Source organism: Homo sapiens, chromosome 12 (assembly GCF_000001405.40).
Source record: "Homo sapiens chromosome 12, GRCh38.p14 Primary Assembly".
In the NCBI taxonomy this organism is placed as follows: domain Eukaryota; kingdom Metazoa; phylum Chordata; class Mammalia; order Primates; family Hominidae; genus Homo; species Homo sapiens.
Window position 1 is genome coordinate 92,758,181 of NC_000012.12, and position 21,686 is coordinate 92,779,866.

Sequence of the window (21,686 nt, forward strand, 5' to 3'; positions counted from 1 at the left end):
CCTGAAATTATGTGAGGCTTTGGTTCACTCCTTCCCTCTTCCTACCTACCTCCCAATACTGCAAGATGCACCAGCTTCTCCTAACACATTAGAAATGGGCATGATAGAAAAGGATATGGGAGACATTGCAAAGGCAAAACCAGGAGGATTTTATGATCGACAAAGTGGATGAAGAGGAAATGAGTATCAAAAACTGTTCTAATCTATGTATCTGAAAGTTTTGTTGATAATGCCATGAGTGGTAGAGGGAGTGGGTCAAGGAGTCAATTTTAGGGTTCAGGTTTGGGCATAATGAGAACCCACATGGAAGCTGGAGGAGCAGCTCCTGGTGGGTGAAAGTCTAAGTCAGATGTGAATTCATGCATCGCATGGGTTCAAAGTGACTGTCATAGATGTATGGGTTGGAAGCTCACCTAAGAAAGACTCTTTACAAACAGACTCAACTTTTCCAGAAAATGCTTCTTGTACAGTCAAATGTGGTAGTATGGACATGAACTACATAATGTCACTAACACCAGGCACTTGTTTAATGGCATATGCTGTATTAGTCAAATTCCATCAGAGATGGAGACTCCATATGATGTAGTCTACATGGCATCAAGCCAAGTGCAAAGTCCTGAGACTGGACTCAGAGTTGAGCATCGAGATTTGATGGGGCAGGGTGATAGTGTTAGAAGAAACAGGACATTTCACTTCTTGGTCTTTTGGCTAAGATCAAGTGAGGAAACAGGACATCATTTTAAATGAAAAAAGCATTGAACCAACAGTCAGGGGATCTAGCACCAATTGTAGGCTTTGGGAAAATTTAAATTCTCTTATTCTCTTTTATAAATGTTATTGCTGCTGCTGATAATGATGATGACAATGAGGATGAAAATGATGTGATGAAACCTAACACATACTGTGTTTCCAAATTTCTCCCAGCCTTAAAAACTGTACTCTTATAATCAAATAAGTATATGTTCTCATTCCCAGAAGGTACACATTTTCATAATTTGTTTCATAACTTACTTGGTGGAAAACTAGGGCCTCAATAAATGGTAGATAAAATAATTACCACTTTCTAGAATAATGTCTGTAACATTATCTAGAATAACATCTGGAATACGTAGAAGGTGTGCTCCCTGCCTGTTTGTCAAAATAAAATAGTTGAAATTAGAAGGAGAAAACAAAACTATTTCATTTTGACAATGATCATTGAGCTGACGCATACATGAGTAGCAGAAGATGGGAATAGCAAATTTTACAGGTTTGAAGGTTGCTGTGGACTGAATTGTGTTCTTCCATTGCTGTGGACTGAATTGTGTTCTTCCACAAATCACATGTTGAAGCCTTAATGTCCAGTATGACTATACTTGGAATAAGGAAGAAATGCAGGTAAAATGAGGGACTCAGGCTGGAGCCTTGATCTGATAGGATTAGTATCCTAATCAGAGCAGACATCAGAGAGCTCACTCTCTCTGTTTGCCATGTAAGAACACATGCAGAAACCCAAAAAGAAAGCCCTTATCAGGAACTGAATCGACCAGCACCTTGATCTACTTCCCAGGCTCCAGAACTGTGAGAAATAAATTCCTATTGCTTAAGCCACCCTGTCTGTGGTATTTTGCTATGGCAGGCTCAGCTGGCTGTTCACAGGTCTAGTGCTGTACCATTCCTAGCCCTGTATATCAGTTGGCATATAGATTCAGCCACTGGAGACGGACAGGTTAAAAAAGATAGTTTATTTCTCTCTTGTTAAGTCTCAACCTATATGACAACTCCACTCCATGAAGTCATTAGGAATCCAGATTCCTGCTGTCTTATTCCCAAATCTAGGGAACTGCCTTCTTCTGTGTGGCCCAAGATGACTCACCAATATGTCTGTATTCTACCCAGTGAGAAGGAGAGACAGAGACAAGAGAGCTTAGCCCTGCCCTTCACGAATATGACTCAGAAGTTGCATGCTTTGGCTCACATTCCATTGGTCAGAATTTAGCTCCTTGGTCATATTCAGCAGCAAGGAAATGTAGTCTCTGTTCTCTGAGGATGGGTACTCACTAAAACTTGGGGATTCTACTGCTACAAGAGAAGGGGAGAATGGTTTTCAAGGGACAACCAGAAGTCTTTGCCACAACTTGATTTATGAAAAGTTAAGTTTTTAATATGATTTTTAAAAAAACTATTCAAGGACTATTTAATTTGAATAAAATACCAGATTTCTCCCCTATGCAAATATAGAAAAAATCTTTTCTCTAAACTTAAAGAATGAGAGGAGATAGAAATGAATCCTAAATGTTTTAGCTACTACTTTAAATCTTCTAGGGGTAAAAACATATAAGAAAGAACTTCTAGAACAATATATATATATAATCTAAATAGAACAAGCTGAAAAAAATTTACTGGGTTTTCCTATGATTACTCTAAGCACTTGTCACATCTCCCTCTAAAAACCTTTTCCTCTGAAATCACTTAAATTTAACCCTTTTTTCTAATTTCTAAGGGATAGAGTAAAATAAGGAAGGAGATGCCTTATTCTGATACTTGGTTTCTCTTCTACTACTATTCCCTTCTTAGGGAAAACTAAAGAAAAGCTATTTGCCTTAAGTAACTATTAAAACTAATATCAGAAAAGTTTGTAAATATGAAACAGATGGAGAATATCTAAACATTTATAGACACTTTCTAAAACTTGAGAAATAAGTAGTTTTAATGACTGTCAACCTAGGCCGCCATAACAAAATATCACAGACAGGCTGACTTAAACAGCAGAAATTTATGTCTTACAATCTGGAGGCTGAAAAGTCCCAGGCCAAGGTGATGGCAAATTCAGTTCCTGATGAGCGCTCTCTTCAAGACAAGGAGTGGGGGATAGGGTGGAGGTATCCGGTGTCTCAAAGAACACTAATGCTACTGGATCAGTGCACCAGCCTTATCACTTCATTTTACCCTAATTACTTTCTTACTCCAAATGCAGCCACCCTAGTGGTTTAGGGCTTCAACATATGAAATTTGAGTGACACAATAGCATAATTCATAGCAGTGAGAAAATGCCTTTTCTCTGGTTATGTGTGCCTTTGCCAATAACCACCCAGAGGAATCTAGAGGCAAAAATGCTGCAAGTTCAATCAGTTGATAGATTTACCCTCGGCTGAGTTGAAGCCACTACAAATAACATCTGAGTTATCTTAGATTCAAATGAGACGCATCATAAATTCAATGTCTTTAATGTTGGAAGCTTGGCCTCTCATCAAGTCTCTGCTTTAGGAAGAAATCAATTCAACATTGAGGCAGGCAGCTTTCTGACCTACATGATTGGAGCCCCTGGGGTGCCGTAATACTCACCCAGTTTTGTTTTCTAAGGAATTCATTGATTAAAAAAAAGAGAGAAAGAAAGAAAGAAGGAAGGAAGGAAGGAAGGAAAGAGAGAATGAAAAGAAAGAAAGAAAAAGAAAGAAAGAAAGAAGAAAGAAAGAAAGAAAGAAAGAAAGAAAGAAAGAAAGAAAGAAAGAAAGAAAGAAAGAAAGGGAAAGAAAAACTCTTCTACTTAACAGTTTCAGGTCCCCATTTCAGCTTCTCTTTTTTTCCTCAGAAAGCACGAGATTCCTAGATGTTTATCTGTTTCTCTTCAATGATTTCCTCTTAGTTACGAAAACTAAGTGCAACAAAAAGGTAAAATGCTGCTATTTCAAAGTACGTTTCTAAACAAGTTTGCTAAATGAGTTTAGAAATATTTCTAAATAAACTGTGGTAAAAATATAAAATATTCTTAAGCTGAATCTTTTCCTCTAAAAAATGAAGGCATTATAAACTATTGGCTTTTTTAGTCATAAAGCTCTGAAGTAAATAAATAAATAAATAAATAAATGAAACCAAAAAAATGCAAGTTGCATTTCTCAAGGATGTCAAAAGAGGAATACATTTTTAGAACAACTTAATCTATATACTTGCAAGCTAAGTCCCAGAAGCCACAGGACTTTGCCTGACCTGCCTAAGCAAAGGAACCCAAAACATCTTTGTCCATTTTGGCCTGTTCCTTTTCTGAATTGGCCACCACAACAAAAACAGCCAGAGTAGGGCCCCTCTGAACTGTCTACTGTCTTATGTCGAGGTGGTTTCAACACTCATTCTGATTTGAAAGCTCACATTATTTCTGAGAAATAATGATTTGGAGGTGGAGGAGAGAGGGAGCCCTGATCTCTCAGTGTCTACCTATATAAAAAGTGTAGAAGCCAAACATGTATGTAGCATCACAGACTAAATTAGTCAACTGGGAGCTAGAGCTACAAAATCTCTATAGGGAATAGGGATTTTTTTCACGTTACTTAAGTATTATTTGTTACTGTTATTGTTGTTGTTATTTTTACTACCCATTAAGCCACTGGTCTGCTGCTGGTCCCCAAAAGGCTTTCTGTCTAATTTACTATTTCACAATCTGTTTCCTGAATGGTGTGTTTGAGTGGTATCAAGTAGAGAAGTTTATCTAAGGCTCCCAGACACCTGCTCTAAGAGGTGGGAAGAGGAACGCAATGTCTTCAACAGTCAGAGATACCTAATGTTGCTTTATTCCATTCATTTCTTTACCAAATGACTAGCCTTACATAGATAAGATCATGAGACTAGCTATGTCATATCTTTTAATAAACTAAGCTTCTACATGGCATGTTGGTTAGTTGAGCTAAATCTTTAAGCAATAAAATAGATACCCATTAATCAATCTATGAATAGCTAATCGGTGGTTGGGGAGGGAATGGGTGTACGAGAATATTAAGAGTCATAGTTTCGGAATTTGTATGACCTCCCATTATAAGTTACTCAGACTAGCATGTCTGAACAAGCCAAATTCTGAAAAATCTCTACCCCCTTCAAAAAAAACCTTGATGCTTGCATAGTTGACCTTCACGTCAAATAGTGGTACAAATCAGAGTATATGAATTAATGGCAGCCCATGTTGATAATATAATAAGCTGATATTCCGGTTTTATGCATCACAAGTTGATTCCTAAAGTAAGGAATGGTATCAGTTTACATGCCTCTTTGCTATTTTATGTACAATTTATACCATGCAGGTCACAATTTTTAATTTTTACCCCCTTTTAAAAAAATCACCATCTTATGTGTTCAAAACAATTTCAATTATTCATAAATTCTAGAGCATGGAATCTATTAAGAATTCAGTATTAGATCCCAGGCATACAGTTGGCCAAAGTGAGGCCCCCTTTCTCATTCATCGAACTCAATACTATAGAGAGATTAAGATACTAGGAATGAAGAACTTCCCATTGACGTGAGGGTGATTTAAATGTTTCCCAGTTATGGACATCAACCATTATTTATTCAGGTAATGAAACTTGGAGATCAGAAACACTTTGCTGCTGGACATGGTAGCTCACTCCTGTAATCCCAGCACTTTAGGAGGCTGAGGTGGGAGGATCACTTGAGCCCAGGGGTTCAATACCAGCCTGGACAACATAGTGAGATCCCATCTCTACAAAAAAATTAAAAAATTAGCAGGGCATGGTGGTGTATGCCTGTAGTCCCAGCTACTTGAGAGGCTGAGATGATGGGAGGATCACTTGAGTGTAGGAGGTTGACACTGCAGTGAGCTGAGATCGCACCACTGTACTCCAGCCTGGGTGACAGAGTGAGACCCTGTCTCAAGAAAAAAAATTTTATTAATAATAATAAAATAAACACTTTGCTATAAATCACTATGCTTTGGGGAAATGCTTTTCAAGATCCAGAAAGAGTAGTAAGATTTTAGGCAATAATAGTTTTTAGGCAATTGTTTCTCAGAATCTATTTGCTTACAGATGCACTTTAGATAAGTGTGCCAATATTTATTTCTTGTTTATTGCATTATTTTTCTTGTTAATTTCAGAAACTTGGAGGCTCAGACCCTGGTTTAATGTGTCCTTCTCTTACTCCTGAGTTGCAAGCAGTAATAAAAGAGGGTGGTTCGTGTACAGTACTCGATCAGCCTATTCCACTAGATAGATTGGTAGTCAAAAGTATTGAACCACTCCATGTGTCAGGTATGTGTCTATTTTCATTATTCAGCTCATCTGTTTGCCATCACAGAGTTTTATATTGGCCTTTCTTGGTAGCAGGTCATAAATCCAATTCAAGTCTTCATAAAAACAAGACTGTGTTCCTATGTGTCTACATATCTTTCACTCTATGAATTAGTTATGGTGTCCGGTGCTTGAGTGATAGCTCTGTTACTTGCTAGCCGTATGACCTTAGACAAGAGACTCTTCAGTTTTCTAAGCCTTTGAGAAATAGGGATAATAATATCTATTTCAGTGAGAGTCTGTGAAAATTAAATAACAAATGTGATGCATTCAATAAATGATAGTTGCTACTGGTATTGTTATTATAGTATCATTAATACTATTGCTGTTATTAAAACACTGAGAAACCATAACCAGACGTGCAAGAGTAAGATATTTTATTACCCTCTATTAAAATAATTATGCCAGCAATATATATATATTCATATATATACACACATATATATGCATGTATCTACATGACACATGCATCAGAAATATATATCATTTTTAATCTTTTATTCAAGTATTTCTTGAGTTATCTCCTGAGACCCAGGAACTCAGCAGGCCCTACAGATACAAAGATGAATAAGAAACAGCCGTTGACCTTGGGGAGCTCTTAGAATAATGAAAGATCAGTAAATCCTCTGTCAGAAAAGCCCTGGGACTCTGAGTTACTCAAGGCTTGAGTGGGCGGCAGTGTTCAGGAGGACGCAGACACCACTCTGCCTTGGCTAGAGGCTCCTAGACCAGCTGAGGCCAGGCAGGTGGGGACTGACTTCCTGTCCCCATTGGAGGGGCCGGAAAAGAGAAAGCGCTCACCATCCCCCTCAATTCCCATCCCAGCAGCCAAGCCCAGAGCTTCAGTGAAGAGCATAGGACTGACTCATACATAATAGAGAAACCTTAAAGAGTGAATGAATGAATATACAAACAACAGTACCAAATACTTACATAGTTATGCTACATAACTAAGTTATATATTTAAATGCTGGCCGGGTGCAGTGGCTCATACTATAATCCCAGTACTTTGGGAGGCCAACATGGTAGGATTGCTTGAGGCCAGGAGTTTGAGACCAGCCTGGGCAACATAGTGAGACCCAGTCTCTTATTAAAAAAAAAAAAAAAAAAAATAGGCTGGGCGTGGTGGCTCACGCCTGTAATCCCAGCACCTTGGGAGCCCGAGTTGGGCAGATCACCTGAGGTCGGGAGCTCGAGACCAGCCTGACCAACATGGAGAAATCCTGTGTCTACTAAAAATACAAAATTAGCCAGGCATGGTGGCGCACACCTGTGACCCCAGCTACTCTGGAGGCTTAGGCAAGAGAATCGCTTGAACCCGGGAGGCGGAGGTTGTGGTGAGCCGAGACTGAGCCATTGCACTTCAGCCTGGGCAACAAGAGTGAAACTCCATCTCAAAAAAAAAAAAAAAATAGTGAGGTACAGCAGCACACACTTGTACTCCCAGCTACTCAGGAGGCTAAAGCTGGAGGATGGCTTGAGCTCAGGAGTTCGAGGCTGCAGTGAGCTATGATTGCCACTGCACTCCAGCCTGGGTGACAGAGTGAGACCCTGTCTCTAAAAATAAAAATAAATTGTAAAAATTTTAATGCCTTACATATATTAACCCATGAATTAATATAACCTCTCTCTCCAAGAGCAGAAGGGAAGCCTGTATCCAGAAAGATAGCCTCTGCCTCCTGTGTCCATTCTTTCTATTTTCAGTAAGATTTGCTGAAAGGTAACAGGGCAGACCTTAAAGCCTCTTGTATTTAACTTGACTGGGACCAAAGTCTATGTAGGGCAAAATCTGCCAAGCCAGACAGCAGTTCAGGAGCAAGCCACAAAAAGGGTATGTCAAAGTTGCAAAACCTTTGCTTGGTGAGTGCTCTCACTTTCAGTGTGAGCTTCTTACCTGCCCAAGGGATGGCAGAGGAATGTAGATAAAACAAAGCCTCAGTATGTGGCGGCTGGAAATCACTTCTTTTCTGTCATTTGTTTAGTTTACTTTTTCATGGGGAAAAATATCATAGTAGAGGGCATCCTGTGCTAGGAATTTATTCTCCTACTACAGTGGCTATAGTTATAGATTATGATACAGTTATACGCTATATAGTTATAGATTGTGGCCTGACACATAGACTTGAGTAAAGGAAGGTGCCAGAACACCCATGAGGAAGAGGATGCAGCTTGGCTGAGGGTTCAGTGTAGTCACAACCCTGCCAGCTTTAAGACTTGAACTTTATGGGAAATCTAATGTCACCGGATTACCTTGAAAGATGCATGTTTTTTCTCCTCTATTTCTTTTTTTTTTTAATTAAAAGATCTTTTTAAAAACATGCTTCTGGGAACATGCACAGTGGCTTACGCCTGTAATCCCAGTACTTTGGTAGGCTGAGGCGGGCAAATCACTTGAGGTCAGGAGTTCAAGACCAGCCTGGTCAACGTGGTGAAAAAATACAAAAAAAATAGCCAGGCGTGGTGGCACACACCTGTAATTCCAGCTACTGGGGAGACAAAGGCACGAGAATCACTTAAACCCAGAAGGCAGAGGTTGCAGTGAGCCAAGGTCGCACGACTGCACTCCAGCCTGGGTGATGGAGTGAGACTCTGTCTCAAAAAGCAAAAACAAAACAACTATGCTTCCACCTTTTTTATTTTCTGATTTGTAACTACCATCTCTTGTTCCTTTTAAAAATATTTTTCTCATTCCTCGGGCCTATTAACTTGACTAATTAGATACAGTACATGGGCAGAGCAGCTATAGAACAGGAAAGAGTAAATGAGGACAAGAGAGAGATTGAGCTCTGGAGTGACAGACCTAATTCCAAATCCTGGCTATATCATTTATAAGCTCTGTGACCTTGGAAAAATTAATATGTTTCCTCATTTACAAGTAGGAATTAGCTGACCTATCTCACAGGGTTGCTATATAGAGAAAAAACATAGTATGGTGCCCAATACATAGAAAATGCTTTTAAAATTGTGTCAGTTATTGTATTAGAATGTCAGTAAAAAAAGAGCTATTCTTGCCTGTATATTATACTCTCTCCAAATTGTATTTTACAGGCCTAGCTTAGCAGGTCCTTTTATTTATAAAGTCCCTTGTACCCATACTACAAACCAAATGAAGCAAGGATGCCTGGAATAACCTGGAAGTACAATTATAGTTTTTGAGGAAAATGAATTCCAAAAACCAGCCAAGAACAATGACCTGATCTTTAAAGCCTCACTTGCTACAGGGAATTTATAAGGCAAAGAATTAGAGAGTAAAACACAGCCAGCTTTTTTTTTTTTTCCCCAGAAAGTCATTTTAATAGGTTTAAGTCCTCTCGCTGCAGAGAAGCTGGACAGAATTTTATGGCCTCTCATTAACAGACTTTATTTTTTGTAGTAGAATTTGGGAATTATGATGTTTAGATTGTTATGAGTATAATCTGTGATACTGGGGTAGTTCTTGCAGTTAAGAAAATAAGTATTGTATTCACCTGGATTCTGAAAGAAGCCCAACAGCCCCTCAGATAAGCCTGAGTTAAACTAACTTCAACAAATACAAATAGTGACAGCAGACAAGCATCAGCTTAATGATCAGCAAGAATATGTCACTTGCTCACTTTTTCTCTTTCCTGAAGTACTTGATGTGGGCAGGAGACAGCCCTGGCCTGTTTTTGTTTGTTTGTTTCTAAACACTGACTATAGAAAGAATGTATAGGGCGGGCGCGGTGGCTCATGCCTATAATCCTAGCACTTTGGGACGCCGAGGTTGGGTGGATCATGAGGTTAGGAGTTCGAGACCAGCCTGGCCAACAAAGTGAAACCCCCGTCTCGACTAAAAACACAAAAAAATTAGCCAGGCGTGGTGGCGGGCGCCTGTAATCCCAGCTACTCAGGAGGCTGAAGCAGGAGAACCATGTGAACCTGGGAGGCAGAGGTACAGTGAGCCGAGATCCCGCCACTGCACTCCAGCCCGGGCGACAGTGAGAGACTTCGTCTCAAGAAAAAAAAAAAAAGAGAGAAAAAAGAATGTGTAAGCTTCAGGACTGTGTTGTATTAATAATTCAAAGAAGAGACTTTCATTTTAAGCGCTCCTGCTATATTAGAAAAAGAAGTCTGCTCTCCCACTATCTTTTCTTTGAGGCCAGCTAGGAAATGACAGAACAGGCTTTCTTTTGCAAACACAGAAACCATGCCAATGTCTCTTTTTGTTTTGTTTTACATTTCACCCAGTTTGGTGGATGCTGGATTTTGAGTGGTTTTTGGCTTTTCTTGGCCTGAAGTATTCAGGTGGTTTTGTATTTTTGCCACATCTTAATTTGTTTATAAACCTTGGTTGGATGTGACTTCCCTTTAAACACAAAAATAAAATTTTTTAAAGGAGTGGTGAAGAACAAAGAAGAAAATATTATATTGTTTTGTATATTTTTATTATCTATATTTTCATACACAAAAAAATCTACCGCATATGTTTAGCTTGTTCTACGAGCAGGGGCCCCATTACCTAAGCCTTAGTTGCATTTCATCAAGTATCAGAAGTCATTAGCTAAGGAAGAAAGGGTTTTTATAGTAGAGTAGGCTTTATTTGGACATAGTGGTGGGGTCTTGGCATTGAAATAAAATTTAAAAAAAAATTATAAGCTAGATAAACCTCCCACCCTCGTTAAAACAGAAACAAGCCAAATAGAAAACAAACCCCAGATTCTTGTACTAAGAAATTGTTTGGATTTCATATGAAATGATTTGGCTTTTTGTCTTTGTAATATCTTTTTCTAGTCTTTGGGCTGAGAAATGCTTTTCTTATACAACACGAAAACAGATATCGACAGTGTATAGCAGCATTCTTATTACAAGCCCAAACGGAAAACATCAAAGTATGTATTTTAATTTTGTAGGTCTTTGATTCTTCAGAGTTTACATAAGCTCCCCCCAAGTGTCTTAAGTAACAGTGAATGGAAAGTTTTGTGTTTTTCTCTCACCCACTTGGGAAGGGCAGATTTGGGAGGAGGGGAGGGGTACATCTAGTCCATATAATGCTCAAAAGCCTCAGTATTGACAATTTCCTCACACTTGTGGGGTTGAGGAACAATTTCCTCACACTTGCGGGGTTGAGGAACAATTTCCTCACGCTTGCAGAGTTCTCCTGCAGAAGCTCAAGAACTGCCTGCGTTCTACAGTTTCTGTAGGAAATGGGGGAAGAATTGATTTGGATTGCATGATGAACCTTTAAGATGCTCCAATCAGTTTCCAAAGTGCATATAATAGGATATTAGCTTAAGGAGGGCCTGGCGCAATAATGATCCCTGTCAAGTCAGCTTGTCAACCTTTGAAAAACTGCCATTGTTTTTACAGCTATGGAGTTGAAAGAGCAGCTGCCTGACTCTGGTTTCTCTGTCTTAGAAGTTTCTATTTTTGTATTTCCCCTGGTAGGCTTTCATCATATCTACAATGTGGCCAGACAACAAATGCAATATTCAATTTCCTGGGTCACTGCCCTCAGTCTCTTTCAAGTTATACTACAGGTTAAGAACTTGTTTCCACAGAGAATAGAAATTCCAGCAATGCCACTTTCAAACTACATATATTCTCAGTGCTCATTTTTCTAATGAGTTATCATTGACTATTGTTTCTTGATTACTCATAACTGTTATCCAACATGCATACCATACTCATTTAGCCCATCTGCATTTTCCTGTAAGATTAGAAGTATTTATATTAGATGTAAGAAAGAAAATGGGAAACATATGCAAATGTTTCATTAGTCTTCAGTTTTAAAGAGCTGGTCAATAAATATAGCAGAAAATATTAGCCCAAATATGTGAGAAATTGTCAGCTTAACATTCTAATCTCTATTTATGTATTTTTTTCTTTTTTTCAACAGAAAACATGGATGGCACAAATAACAACTGCAATTTCTTGCTTTACCAAGAGTCAGGAAACCAAGAAAATATCTTTATTCACATTGCCCGCAGAATCCTCTGAAATTTAGGGACCTAAAACAAGTGGCATGTCTTTTTAGAAGATTATGGTTTAAGGTATAATTTCATTCAAAGTTTTGTAACACTTAGCTAGTGATAAGCTAGAAGGAAATTTGCATTTTAAAGAAGTTTCAGAATTTGAAATTTTGAGCTAGGAAAATCCTCAGTATAGAGGAATAATGACTGCAACAAATTTGAACTCTGAGGAATTTCTTGACAAATATATACTGACATCCAGATTACCTTCTAATGCTTCCGTCAGGTTTGTAAGAGGTGTGAGTGAAGAAAGGTGCTAATTTGTAAAGGGTGAATGATCAGATAAATGGAGTATCAGAAGGAAAACAATGTCCACTGCTTATGTCCAATATGAACTCCAGCATCTTACTCTGTATCCATAAAATAATGAAACCAATTTTCCTTCATGGCCTGTCAATCAGTCTTAACCGCTTTATAGTCCTACCTCAAACATAATGATAAATCTTTAGATACAAAGCTTGATTGTTCTTTTAATATACAAAGCAATAAATAGGGACTACATTTAAGTAGCAGTTTTAAAATTCCTATTCTCAAACTCATCTCAGGTATATAGTACTCTAACGTGGAAGTAGAAAATCCCAAAGACTAAATTCCATTACTTTAAGATAGGAAGAAAAAAAAAATCTGGCTTTCACCAGTTAACACTTTTGCATGGCTTTTCTTGGCCTGTTGTGAAGTGTACAGATTTTCATAGACATAGTAAGGTATCTGTCTCTTAACTTTATTTTTTGAAGAATGATGGTGTTTGCCATAAAAATACTTTCTGGTTTTGATTGGTGTGTGTGTGTGTGTGTGTGTGTGTTAGCACAGTACAGTCACTTAATTTTATTTGGCAGGACTTCAAATTTCTTCAGAATTTTTATCATGAAAGGCAGTTTGAATAATTATTATCATGGCAGGATATATACTATTAACTACATTCAAGGAACTAGTTCTTAGGGTCAGATTATTGCATCAAAGGGAAGTCCACAAACTTCCATTTCAGAATCGTACCTTTTGCAATTTGCAAAGTGAAAGTAGTAAATTTATCAAATTTGGCTGCAAGACAACTGAAGCCTTAGCTGATTTTGTTAAGCTGAAGAATGGGGTAGAGAGGATAATGTTTGGGCAAGTCATGTGCCCAGTAATTCCTTGAGGAAGGTGAAATTTCACTATGCAAACAAAGCAGTAAAGACAAGTGCAGCAGAAAGGCTTTTGTACAAGGCAAGCACTATTAGAATGGAGACTAATAACCTCTTTATAATAATGTCAGAAATTTAATAGAAGAAAAAAAGGAAAATCTGGAGGACAGTAACTATTGTTAATAGCTAAGAATAAATGAGGTGGAGGGGAGAAAAAGGGGAGAATAGACTTCAAGCTTCAAGTGAATTCCTAGAGATGGCATCTGGATGGGACTGAAAGCAGTTATGTCCAGGAGAATACAATATAGATTATGCAAGAGAAGATTTTATAAAGAAATTTCTGGTTAAAAAAAATTTTTACATTAACAATCATCTTGCAAATGTTTAGATATAAACTAACCTCGGAGGTGAGCAGTGGACTAGGATGAGGTGGCCTCTCAAATTCCTTTAGTCCCATGAATCCAGCAACCACAGACTTACATGTATAAAGGTAGTTTTCTCCCTCTGAATCTCATTAAAGGGAGAGACAGACTGACTAAATTAACAAAATATATAAAACAGCTCAAGAATATGCTGTACATAAACTGGAATTCTATAAAGCTCACAAAGTAACATGTCTAATATACAATATATTAGATGTTTGAGGATATGCACATTAAACTCTTTGGAGGGTTTAGAATGAAGCACATTCGAATGAAGGGATCACGGGGGTCAGAACAAAAACCATTCTAGAACCGTGGCTCCCAGGAAGAAAAAATAGCAAAAAACAATGGCACATTGGGCCTTCCAAAAAGTATCTTTGGGGAGGGGAGGGAGAAAAATAAATAAATAAATAAATAAATAATGTTTTAAGTATCTTTAAATGGTCATCTGGGTATTAAATGCAGACACACAATGAAATAAGGGGTTAATTACATATTTTTTATATTTGTTTTTAGTTTTGTTAATTCTCTACAATATTAAATGGAATGTCTAAGGCAAAATGGCATTAATAATTTCTCTTGAGATCAGGAATTTAATTACTATTCGAAATTGAACAACATTAAAACACCACTGTCTATATCCAAGTGCAAAGTCCTAATATTCTGTAAATAAATTAATGCAAAATGGTTAATACAGTGTTCTCTCTTTTGTTAGACAAAACAATTTATAGTCACAGAATACAACTAGTTTAGAAAGAAATGTTTTTAATATAATATTTAAACATATTAAAAAAAAGCAACAATTCAATAAGGATCCTTCCATTGTTCTTTATACAGATTTAAATGCTGTCACGTACTTTATCAGTTACATTTATAATTAATAACCTTCCAATCACTGAGTTTAGAAATTGCAGTATTTACTGAGCTAACCTTTCTCACAAAGTAAGGCACAACTACATGATCACAAGTAGTAAACACAATACAAATAATGAACCCAAAAACTAAATGAGAAAATGTTCATGCATAAGTATCTACAGAACTTATGAATATATGATCCAGTTCAAGGAATTACAGAATGTCATATACACAACTGCATTGTGTTACAATAAATTTATTACTTCTACACAGAAAGAACTTAGTGACTTCTAATTCTATTTTATACAATTTTACATAAATTTAGTAAGTTTATGCACAATATTCACATCTGCAACAATAACAAATTGATCATTAAAATTCAGGCTAAGGGCAATTAAGACACAATAATGTGTGGCACGTTATAATTACAGAATACCATTCATCAAGCTCATGTCTAGGAATACTATAATGGTGGCACATTTAAATCTTATGGATCAAATCATCCATGGTTTTATAGCCAAAGTGCATTTTTTTAAAAAAACTCCTATAGTCAAACAGGTCATGAATATCAAAATATATGATCATAATTTGCTCTCTACTTAAAAGCTAAACATTTTTATGCAAATGTAAGGTTAAAAAAAAGTGGCTTTAAAGTTCTCAAAACTATATAAAATAATCATAAAGACTTTTTTAAGAGAGATGGGAAAATAACAAATTTGGCAGTTACTATTTAACATTACTGTCAGGAAACTATTAAAGTAGATAATTCCACATTAAGAGGTAGTTGAACAAAATGTTATTTATACACTGCATTGAGGTTTTTGTGTTTGTTTCCCTCATTTTTTCTTCAAAGGAACAAATCCTATACCAGCAGCTTTGTCTTCTTTCTATTAAAAAAAAGTCTGTAGGTATAGTTTATTGTACACTAACCCAGCAAGACTTAATTTTAACTCACATTCTGTGCCGGGGTTTGGAATTTACTAACATTATGTCAATGTGCTTTTCATTAAAGCCAAGAGCTGTACATGCCAGCTTTAACTGACTGACAAAATAATAGTACCAGCAAACATGTAAAATGTACAGCCAATAAGGACTTCAAAGATGACTTTTTAATTAAAAGGAAAAAAATTTAAATTTTTATTTCGAAAACACATTAAATTGGGGAGAGTTAGTAGCAAAAAATGTTCGGTTTCATTTATATTATCAGTATAGTAGCCTATGGTAGGTAAATTACTCGGGACTTATGAAATGAAATTAGATAAAAATGAGAAAATCATTCAAACACCTATATATGGTTACTTGTTGTCTTAAAATTTTTTTGTGAGTATTTTGGGGGTAAAGGGGAGACAGACAGAAGGCCTGGAGTGGTGTTCAATTAGGAGACAAAGTAAACAAATATTCAAACCCAGATTTCTCATGGAATTTATTATCTCAAAAAAAAAAAAAAAACAGTGGTGCTGTGAATATCTGTGTTTTTCCAGCACACTTATTAAGTTATTTATATGTAAAAGGATAGAATTAAAACTATTTGGAAGGATTTATAAGTATATAAAAATGCATAAATAGTTCAGTTTATATTATCCAACTATTATTTTTAATAAAGAGCCACTGTATTTCTTCATTATATATGTTCAAGGATATATGTTTATCCAAGTCCAGGGACTTAATCAATGTTCTTAATAGCTAATGACAACAGGGTTTACTTAAATTTTTTTTTAAATAATTAAACAAATATGTAGTGATCTCTTTAGTTTACATACACTGTAGGTATAGCATGAATATAATTTCATTTCAGAATATTTGAAAGCAAATGTATATTAAGAACTATTATAAATGAAATATTAACTACTGTTATAAAATGATTGCACTGAATGAATGTATAACTACACTTCTTCTCTAGAAAGATTAATAAACCAATATTAATAACTTCTCTCTTGAGATGTTTTACAATTTTCCAAATTAATAAGACTATGCTAAATTAAAGTTCGATTCCATTGTTCAGCATACAAATAAGCTAATTTCTTAATTATCCTTAAGATGCTTAGCCATGCTGTTTCAGTTTTTATTGTAACTGGGATTCCTAAATACATTTGTTTTTGGTGATACTCTATTTCTAGGTGTTAGTTACTTAAAGGGAATTTCACAACATTATTTTTGCAAAGTTAAAATTAAAACTGGGAACAGTTGACATGGAACACCAAATTCAGAACCATTTTAACTTTAAGTCAATTTTACAACTTTTAAAAATTCTTCCCAATAGGGTAAGAAATAGAAAGTAAAATATTTAATGTCTTCTTATCATTTTATATTTTGTTTTCACCAATAAGACCACAGCAATATTAGTTACTAGCTTTAAGATGCAAAATTATAAAACAAATACATGAAGCTGATCTATGCTTGAAAATGTTAAACCAAATAAAGGAAAAAATCAGATCTATGTAAAAAGCAAACTCAGGTTCCTGAAGATGCTAGAGAGACAAAATAAGGGTATGATATGAAGGCTGATCTCAAAAGACTTCCCACTTACAAGAAACCGAGAATAAGAACATTATACAATGTTTATTATTCATCCTCCAACTGACAGCGAGGGTAAGAAGCTTTCTAAGATTCTAAATGGACAATGCGTGGGAGTTTAAGAAAGAGACAGAAAAAGACAAAAAGAAAAATTAACCCTATTCTTTGCAATACAACCCCAGATAACTATAAGTAAACAAATTGATTTTACAGAGGTTTTTATAAAATCCACCCAAGAAAATTTAATTAATATTGTTAAAACAAAAACCATTTTTGAATTCATATTACTACATATTTTAAGATAAACTGTATTTAGAACACCCAAGTAGTAAATTCATAACATAACAATGCAACTGAACCATGAACCCACATATAAGAGAAAAAGGCAGAGGAAAGTGTTACAGTTCTGTGCATAACTTCACAAAGAGAATATTTAATATAATTAATGTGCTATTGTGCAACAAAAACAGCAACAAGTGATAATATCATCCATGTACATTTTTGTACATTAAATTTAGGAGAAAGAAGTAAGCTATGGAATTGCATTCTTCATTTGTGAATAATGAAATTATATTAAAAAAATACATTGCTATTTTCTGTCCAAAGTTTATTTACATTTCATTGGCTAATTCTAAACTTGGCATGAAAGCTATTCCAGGGGCTAAATGGGAAAAAAGTAATGAAAGATGATAAGCCCAAGTCTCACAAAAATAGAAGAGTTTTACTTGATATCCATAACATTCCAAAATATACTAATTCCTATTTGGTCTAGTATTGCAACCAGTGTCCAAACCAAATAGTAGTCCAAGACCTCTATTAAGTACATTTATTAAAAATCTAATGTTAGTGTAATATTACTCTGAAGTTGTGATAACCCATTATCCTTGCAAGTCATTGAAACATGCATCACAGACACGAACAGGCTTCTTGGAGGAAGGAGTTAAGGCATTTTTGGCTGAACATTCAGCACAGAAGATATTTCCACACTGTCGGCAGTGATGCTGTAAATGACAAAAATTAAACAATTTCAAGAATAAAAACTATACCAAAAGTATTATGAAACTACATGAATACCACCAACTACATTATGAAGGTACATTAGCTTTCAAGTCATTGGTATATTATTTAATGATATGTTTCAATATGTTAACTTAATCTCTGTTATAATTAAATTGAATGCTTCCTATTTATCAAACACTATGCTAAACATTTTACATAGAATTTATTATGGAACTCTCAAAAGAACCAGAGGAGGCATTTAAAAAGTTTTTATAAAGTATCTCTATCAAATGAAAAACTATTCCTATTTGCCAAATGTTTCAGGCACTAATGTCTCCAAAAGAAATATAAACTTAAGTCATTAACACAATGGTAGTATTTAGAATATATTTTTAAAATACCTCTGCTTTTTCTTCCTTTAAAGAACCCAATGATTACTAAAACATGAGTTTAATATTGGTGCACTGATTCAGAAAATGATTGTCCCAGACAGTAACTAAGTTGGAAGACAAGGACTGAATTTAAAAGTAAAATTCAAACACATATGCTAACCAAAAGCTAGACTGCATGAAGTTATTCTATGTTGTTGTTAAAGTTTACTGATAAACAGAAAATTATTCTGTCAAATGAAGGACTATTTTGATGGTTAAAACATTAATTATCAGTGACAAATGAAATCCAGAAACATAGTTACATGAACAAAATTATTTACCCGTCTCACTGTTACTGAAAAGCCTTTCCCACAGGCCATACAGTTTTGTACTTCATTGTCTTCGGCCCACTTTCTATTCAACGCTTGTGTATGTTTGATCTGTTTTTTAAAGAAGTATCGATATATTATAGTATTCAACATTTTAAAGAATGCTAGATTATTTCTAACTTGCTGCCAGAGTTCTATAAAATTTTGACTATATGACCCATGAAATAAAATTTTAAAAATCAGAAATACACTGGTCAGCTTCTATTGTCAAAAGTAGCTATACTCATAAATCTGAATGACAAAATAAAATTAATTGAATTTTATTCCTGAAATATCTTGCTAACCTTTGCTGATTTCCAATCCATTCTAAACATAATGATGAATTTTCCCTGGTGACTCTGAGAATATACTCAGATCGCTTCTTTAACACATACTGACTCATATATTCTTTGGTATTCTTGAATTTTGTAGTTCTTTCCATATACTAACAATTAATGAATGACATGGCTTTCTAATGAATCTCTGAGGTCTCTGAAACAAGTTCTTTACTTTTATATTTAATTATCCACAAAACCTACAATACTGCTAAACAGAGAGTAGCTATTTGAAAGTATTTATAAAACATGAGATTTTTTAAAAGGTAAAAATATGCTTTTCACTAATAAGCCAATTCTAGACTAAAAAACTGCTTCATATCCATAGGTGACTGACCTGAAGTGATTGGTTTTCTCTGCCCAGCTCCTGCACTGCTGCAGTTGTATTATCCAGCTTTCTTTGCAATTCTAATACTTTGGTTTGAAGCTTTTCTATTTCACCTTCTCCTTTAAGACATCTGGAATAGATTGCAAAGAGGTAATTAATTTTTTAGAAAATCATTTAAAGACCCTTCTAGGGTATAGATAATGGACTACTTTAGTAATTTAAAATATATGATACATTAATTTTGACTATCTGATTGTTTTACAGGTTAATTTTTAAATGGCTACTTAAATACCTATAGAGGCTTATGCACTTTTCTCAAGATTCTTCTATTTTTAAAAACTATGGAATATGACAATCTTTTTATCACTTACAATGGAAATAAACTAATTTTACTAGATATCAATCACCTTTCCAGTAGTGCTCTCCTTTCATCTTGATTATTCTGAACCGTTGCTTCTAATACTGCAATTTCACCCCGTAAGTCATCCGTTTGTTTCTCAAGCTCACTAACTCTCCGTTGACTAGATTGCCACTCCTTCTTCACAGTGCCTAAGTTTTCATTTAATGCTGTAATCTGCATGGTAAGTTTAGCCTCATTTTCTTCATGCTTCTTCATTCCTACTTCCTTTTCTTTTATTTCGGAATGCTGAAAAAAAGGAAAAGTTGGGGGGAAATCTATTACAAAAGTAGTGCAAAATAAATGTAAGTGATTTATTACATTTAAAATACTGGCAATTTGCTTCTTCGGGAATGGAGGCAGGAGAACATATTTCATTACACATTAATAAAACTGATTCCACAAGCATCTATGTAATATGAATTGGCTCAAAGGTCAAAATGCTGAAATGATGGATAGTGACCATCATGATGGTGAGCTAAAGTGACACAATGTGAGATCTTTCTTCTTCTCCACCAGAGCAGGAAAGACACATATGGTTAGGGATAGCAAGGTGCCCTAGAGACAAAGCTGAAATTTCCTTATTCGTCCCAATTCCATATGCTTTCTTTTCTCTATCAGTCTGCCAAAAACCATTATGAAACCTTCAAATGACTGTTTGAAGTTAAAATTGAAACTCTTCAACTAAAATATTCAATGGCCAAGTTATCTGGGCATATTTGGACTTAATTCAACAGAGGAAAGCCAGATGCTTCCCATTTGGCATGTGCAACTTAGGAAAGGAAAAGCAGACTTTGTTCATCATAATTTCAAACTCAAGTTTCCGCTCCCCCTTATCAACATTCGTTTTGACCCAACAAATGGGTTTAACATGACTAGCATTCACACCATTTACCAGATCTACGTAGTTGTGGGGTTGTTTAGCTTCTGACACTTAAAAAACAAAAAAAATTTTTTAATTTTATTTCATTTCAATGTTCACTTATAAAAACAGAATTATGGTTACAGGGTAAAATATTTCCAACCACATGTCAGCTATGTAAATAAATCAGATCTCCTTCCTTAATCAAAAACTAAAATGTTAGGAAAGCATTTCAATCAGATCTTATAAGTAGAACAGTCCTCTCACTGGATTGATTTAAAGCTCTACTGCAAAACACACTTCCCCCGATTAACTCACTGACCAACTTAGCTTCTTTCTCAATAAATTCTTTCTTCAGCTCCTCTTCTTCCTTTTTCACCTGGTCTTTTAGTATCTGCTGATTTCTCTTCTCCTGTTCAACAGCTGCCTTCAGGGAGTCCGCTTTTCCTTGAAGTTCTAATTTCTGCTGAATTAGAAGCTGTTTAGCATCTTTAAGATTTGTTATCTCCTGTTGAAAAAGTAGGGCCAAAAATAAATCATCCTTCATAGTAAATATTTCAAAATTTGGCTAAAATTTATGCAATTTATCACAATAGATCAAATATAGGTTTTACCCACTTATGAAATTCTTAAAGTTCAGTATTTTAAAGAATTGGTTAAAAAGATACAAGATTATAGTATGTCTTGCTCAACAATCATTTAAATCCAGGTGACAAAAATGTATACGTTTTGATTATGTGGAGAAAAAAAAACAAACTGTACTCTCTATTTTCCCTTTCCTCACTTAACATTTACTGGTCATCATTTAGTTATCACACACTGAGTTACGTTCTGGGGATATAACATAAAGATGAATTATACACATTCCCTGATTTAAGGAAGTCACATTCTAGAGGACAGAGGAACATAAAGAGATAATTAATTATAAACCAAAATGAAAGTATGCTTACAGACATAAAGGACATTATGAGTGCTCTCAAGAAAGAATCTAACCTTTTTTTAAGAAATTAGTATTTTACAAAGCAAATAATAGACAATTAGTTTTCTTCAATGGGTACCCTATCTATGCTTATA

At 35.3% G+C, this 21,686-nt stretch overlaps 2 protein-coding genes and 1 long non-coding RNA gene across 6 annotated transcripts in view, besides 1 other annotated feature; 2 read left to right on the top strand and 1 right to left on the bottom strand.

Moving 5' to 3' along the window:
• PLEKHG7 (pleckstrin homology and RhoGEF domain containing G7) overlaps positions 1 to 14,275 on the top strand; it is a 69,467-nt gene extending 55,192 nt beyond the window's left edge. For all 3 annotated transcript variants that reach the window (NM_001377329.1, XM_047428867.1, XM_047428868.1), the window contains 4 exons: positions 3,572 to 3,651; positions 5,861 to 6,014; positions 10,803 to 10,900; positions 11,908 to 14,275. In NM_001377329.1, the coding sequence (NP_001364258.1) occupies positions 3,572 to 3,651; positions 5,861 to 6,014; positions 10,803 to 10,900; positions 11,908 to 12,015 (440 nt within the window). In that variant the 3' untranslated portion in view covers positions 12,016 to 14,275. The remainder of the gene's footprint in view (positions 1 to 3,571; positions 3,652 to 5,860; positions 6,015 to 10,802; positions 10,901 to 11,907) is intronic.
• Positions 11,059 to 11,259: a silencer, noted in NCBI's record as "peak1888 fragment used in MPRA reporter construct". NCBI's record gives its function as "represses an SCP1 promoter by STARR-seq MPRAs in K562 erythroleukemia cells {active_cell/tissue: K562}" and the evidence as "EXISTENCE:reporter gene assay evidence [ECO:0000049][PMID:32103011]".
• EEA1 (early endosome antigen 1) overlaps positions 12,457 to 21,686 on the bottom strand; it is a 158,659-nt gene continuing 149,429 nt past the window's right edge. For both annotated transcript variants that reach the window (NM_003566.4, XM_011538814.3), the window contains 5 exons: positions 20,935 to 21,120; positions 19,761 to 19,999; positions 19,363 to 19,483; positions 18,664 to 18,762; positions 12,457 to 17,953 (listed from right to left, as the gene is read on the bottom strand). In NM_003566.4, coding sequence (NP_003557.3) covers positions 17,831 to 17,953; positions 18,664 to 18,762; positions 19,363 to 19,483; positions 19,761 to 19,999; positions 20,935 to 21,120 — 768 coding nt within the window. In that variant the 3' untranslated portion in view covers positions 12,457 to 17,830. The remainder of the gene's footprint in view (positions 17,954 to 18,663; positions 18,763 to 19,362; positions 19,484 to 19,760; positions 20,000 to 20,934; positions 21,121 to 21,686) is intronic.
• On the top strand, positions 19,420 to 19,756 carry LOC124902984 (uncharacterized). The gene is made up of 2 exons (XR_007063407.1): positions 19,420 to 19,503; positions 19,618 to 19,756. It is a non-coding gene; the product is annotated as an uncharacterized LOC124902984 (long non-coding RNA).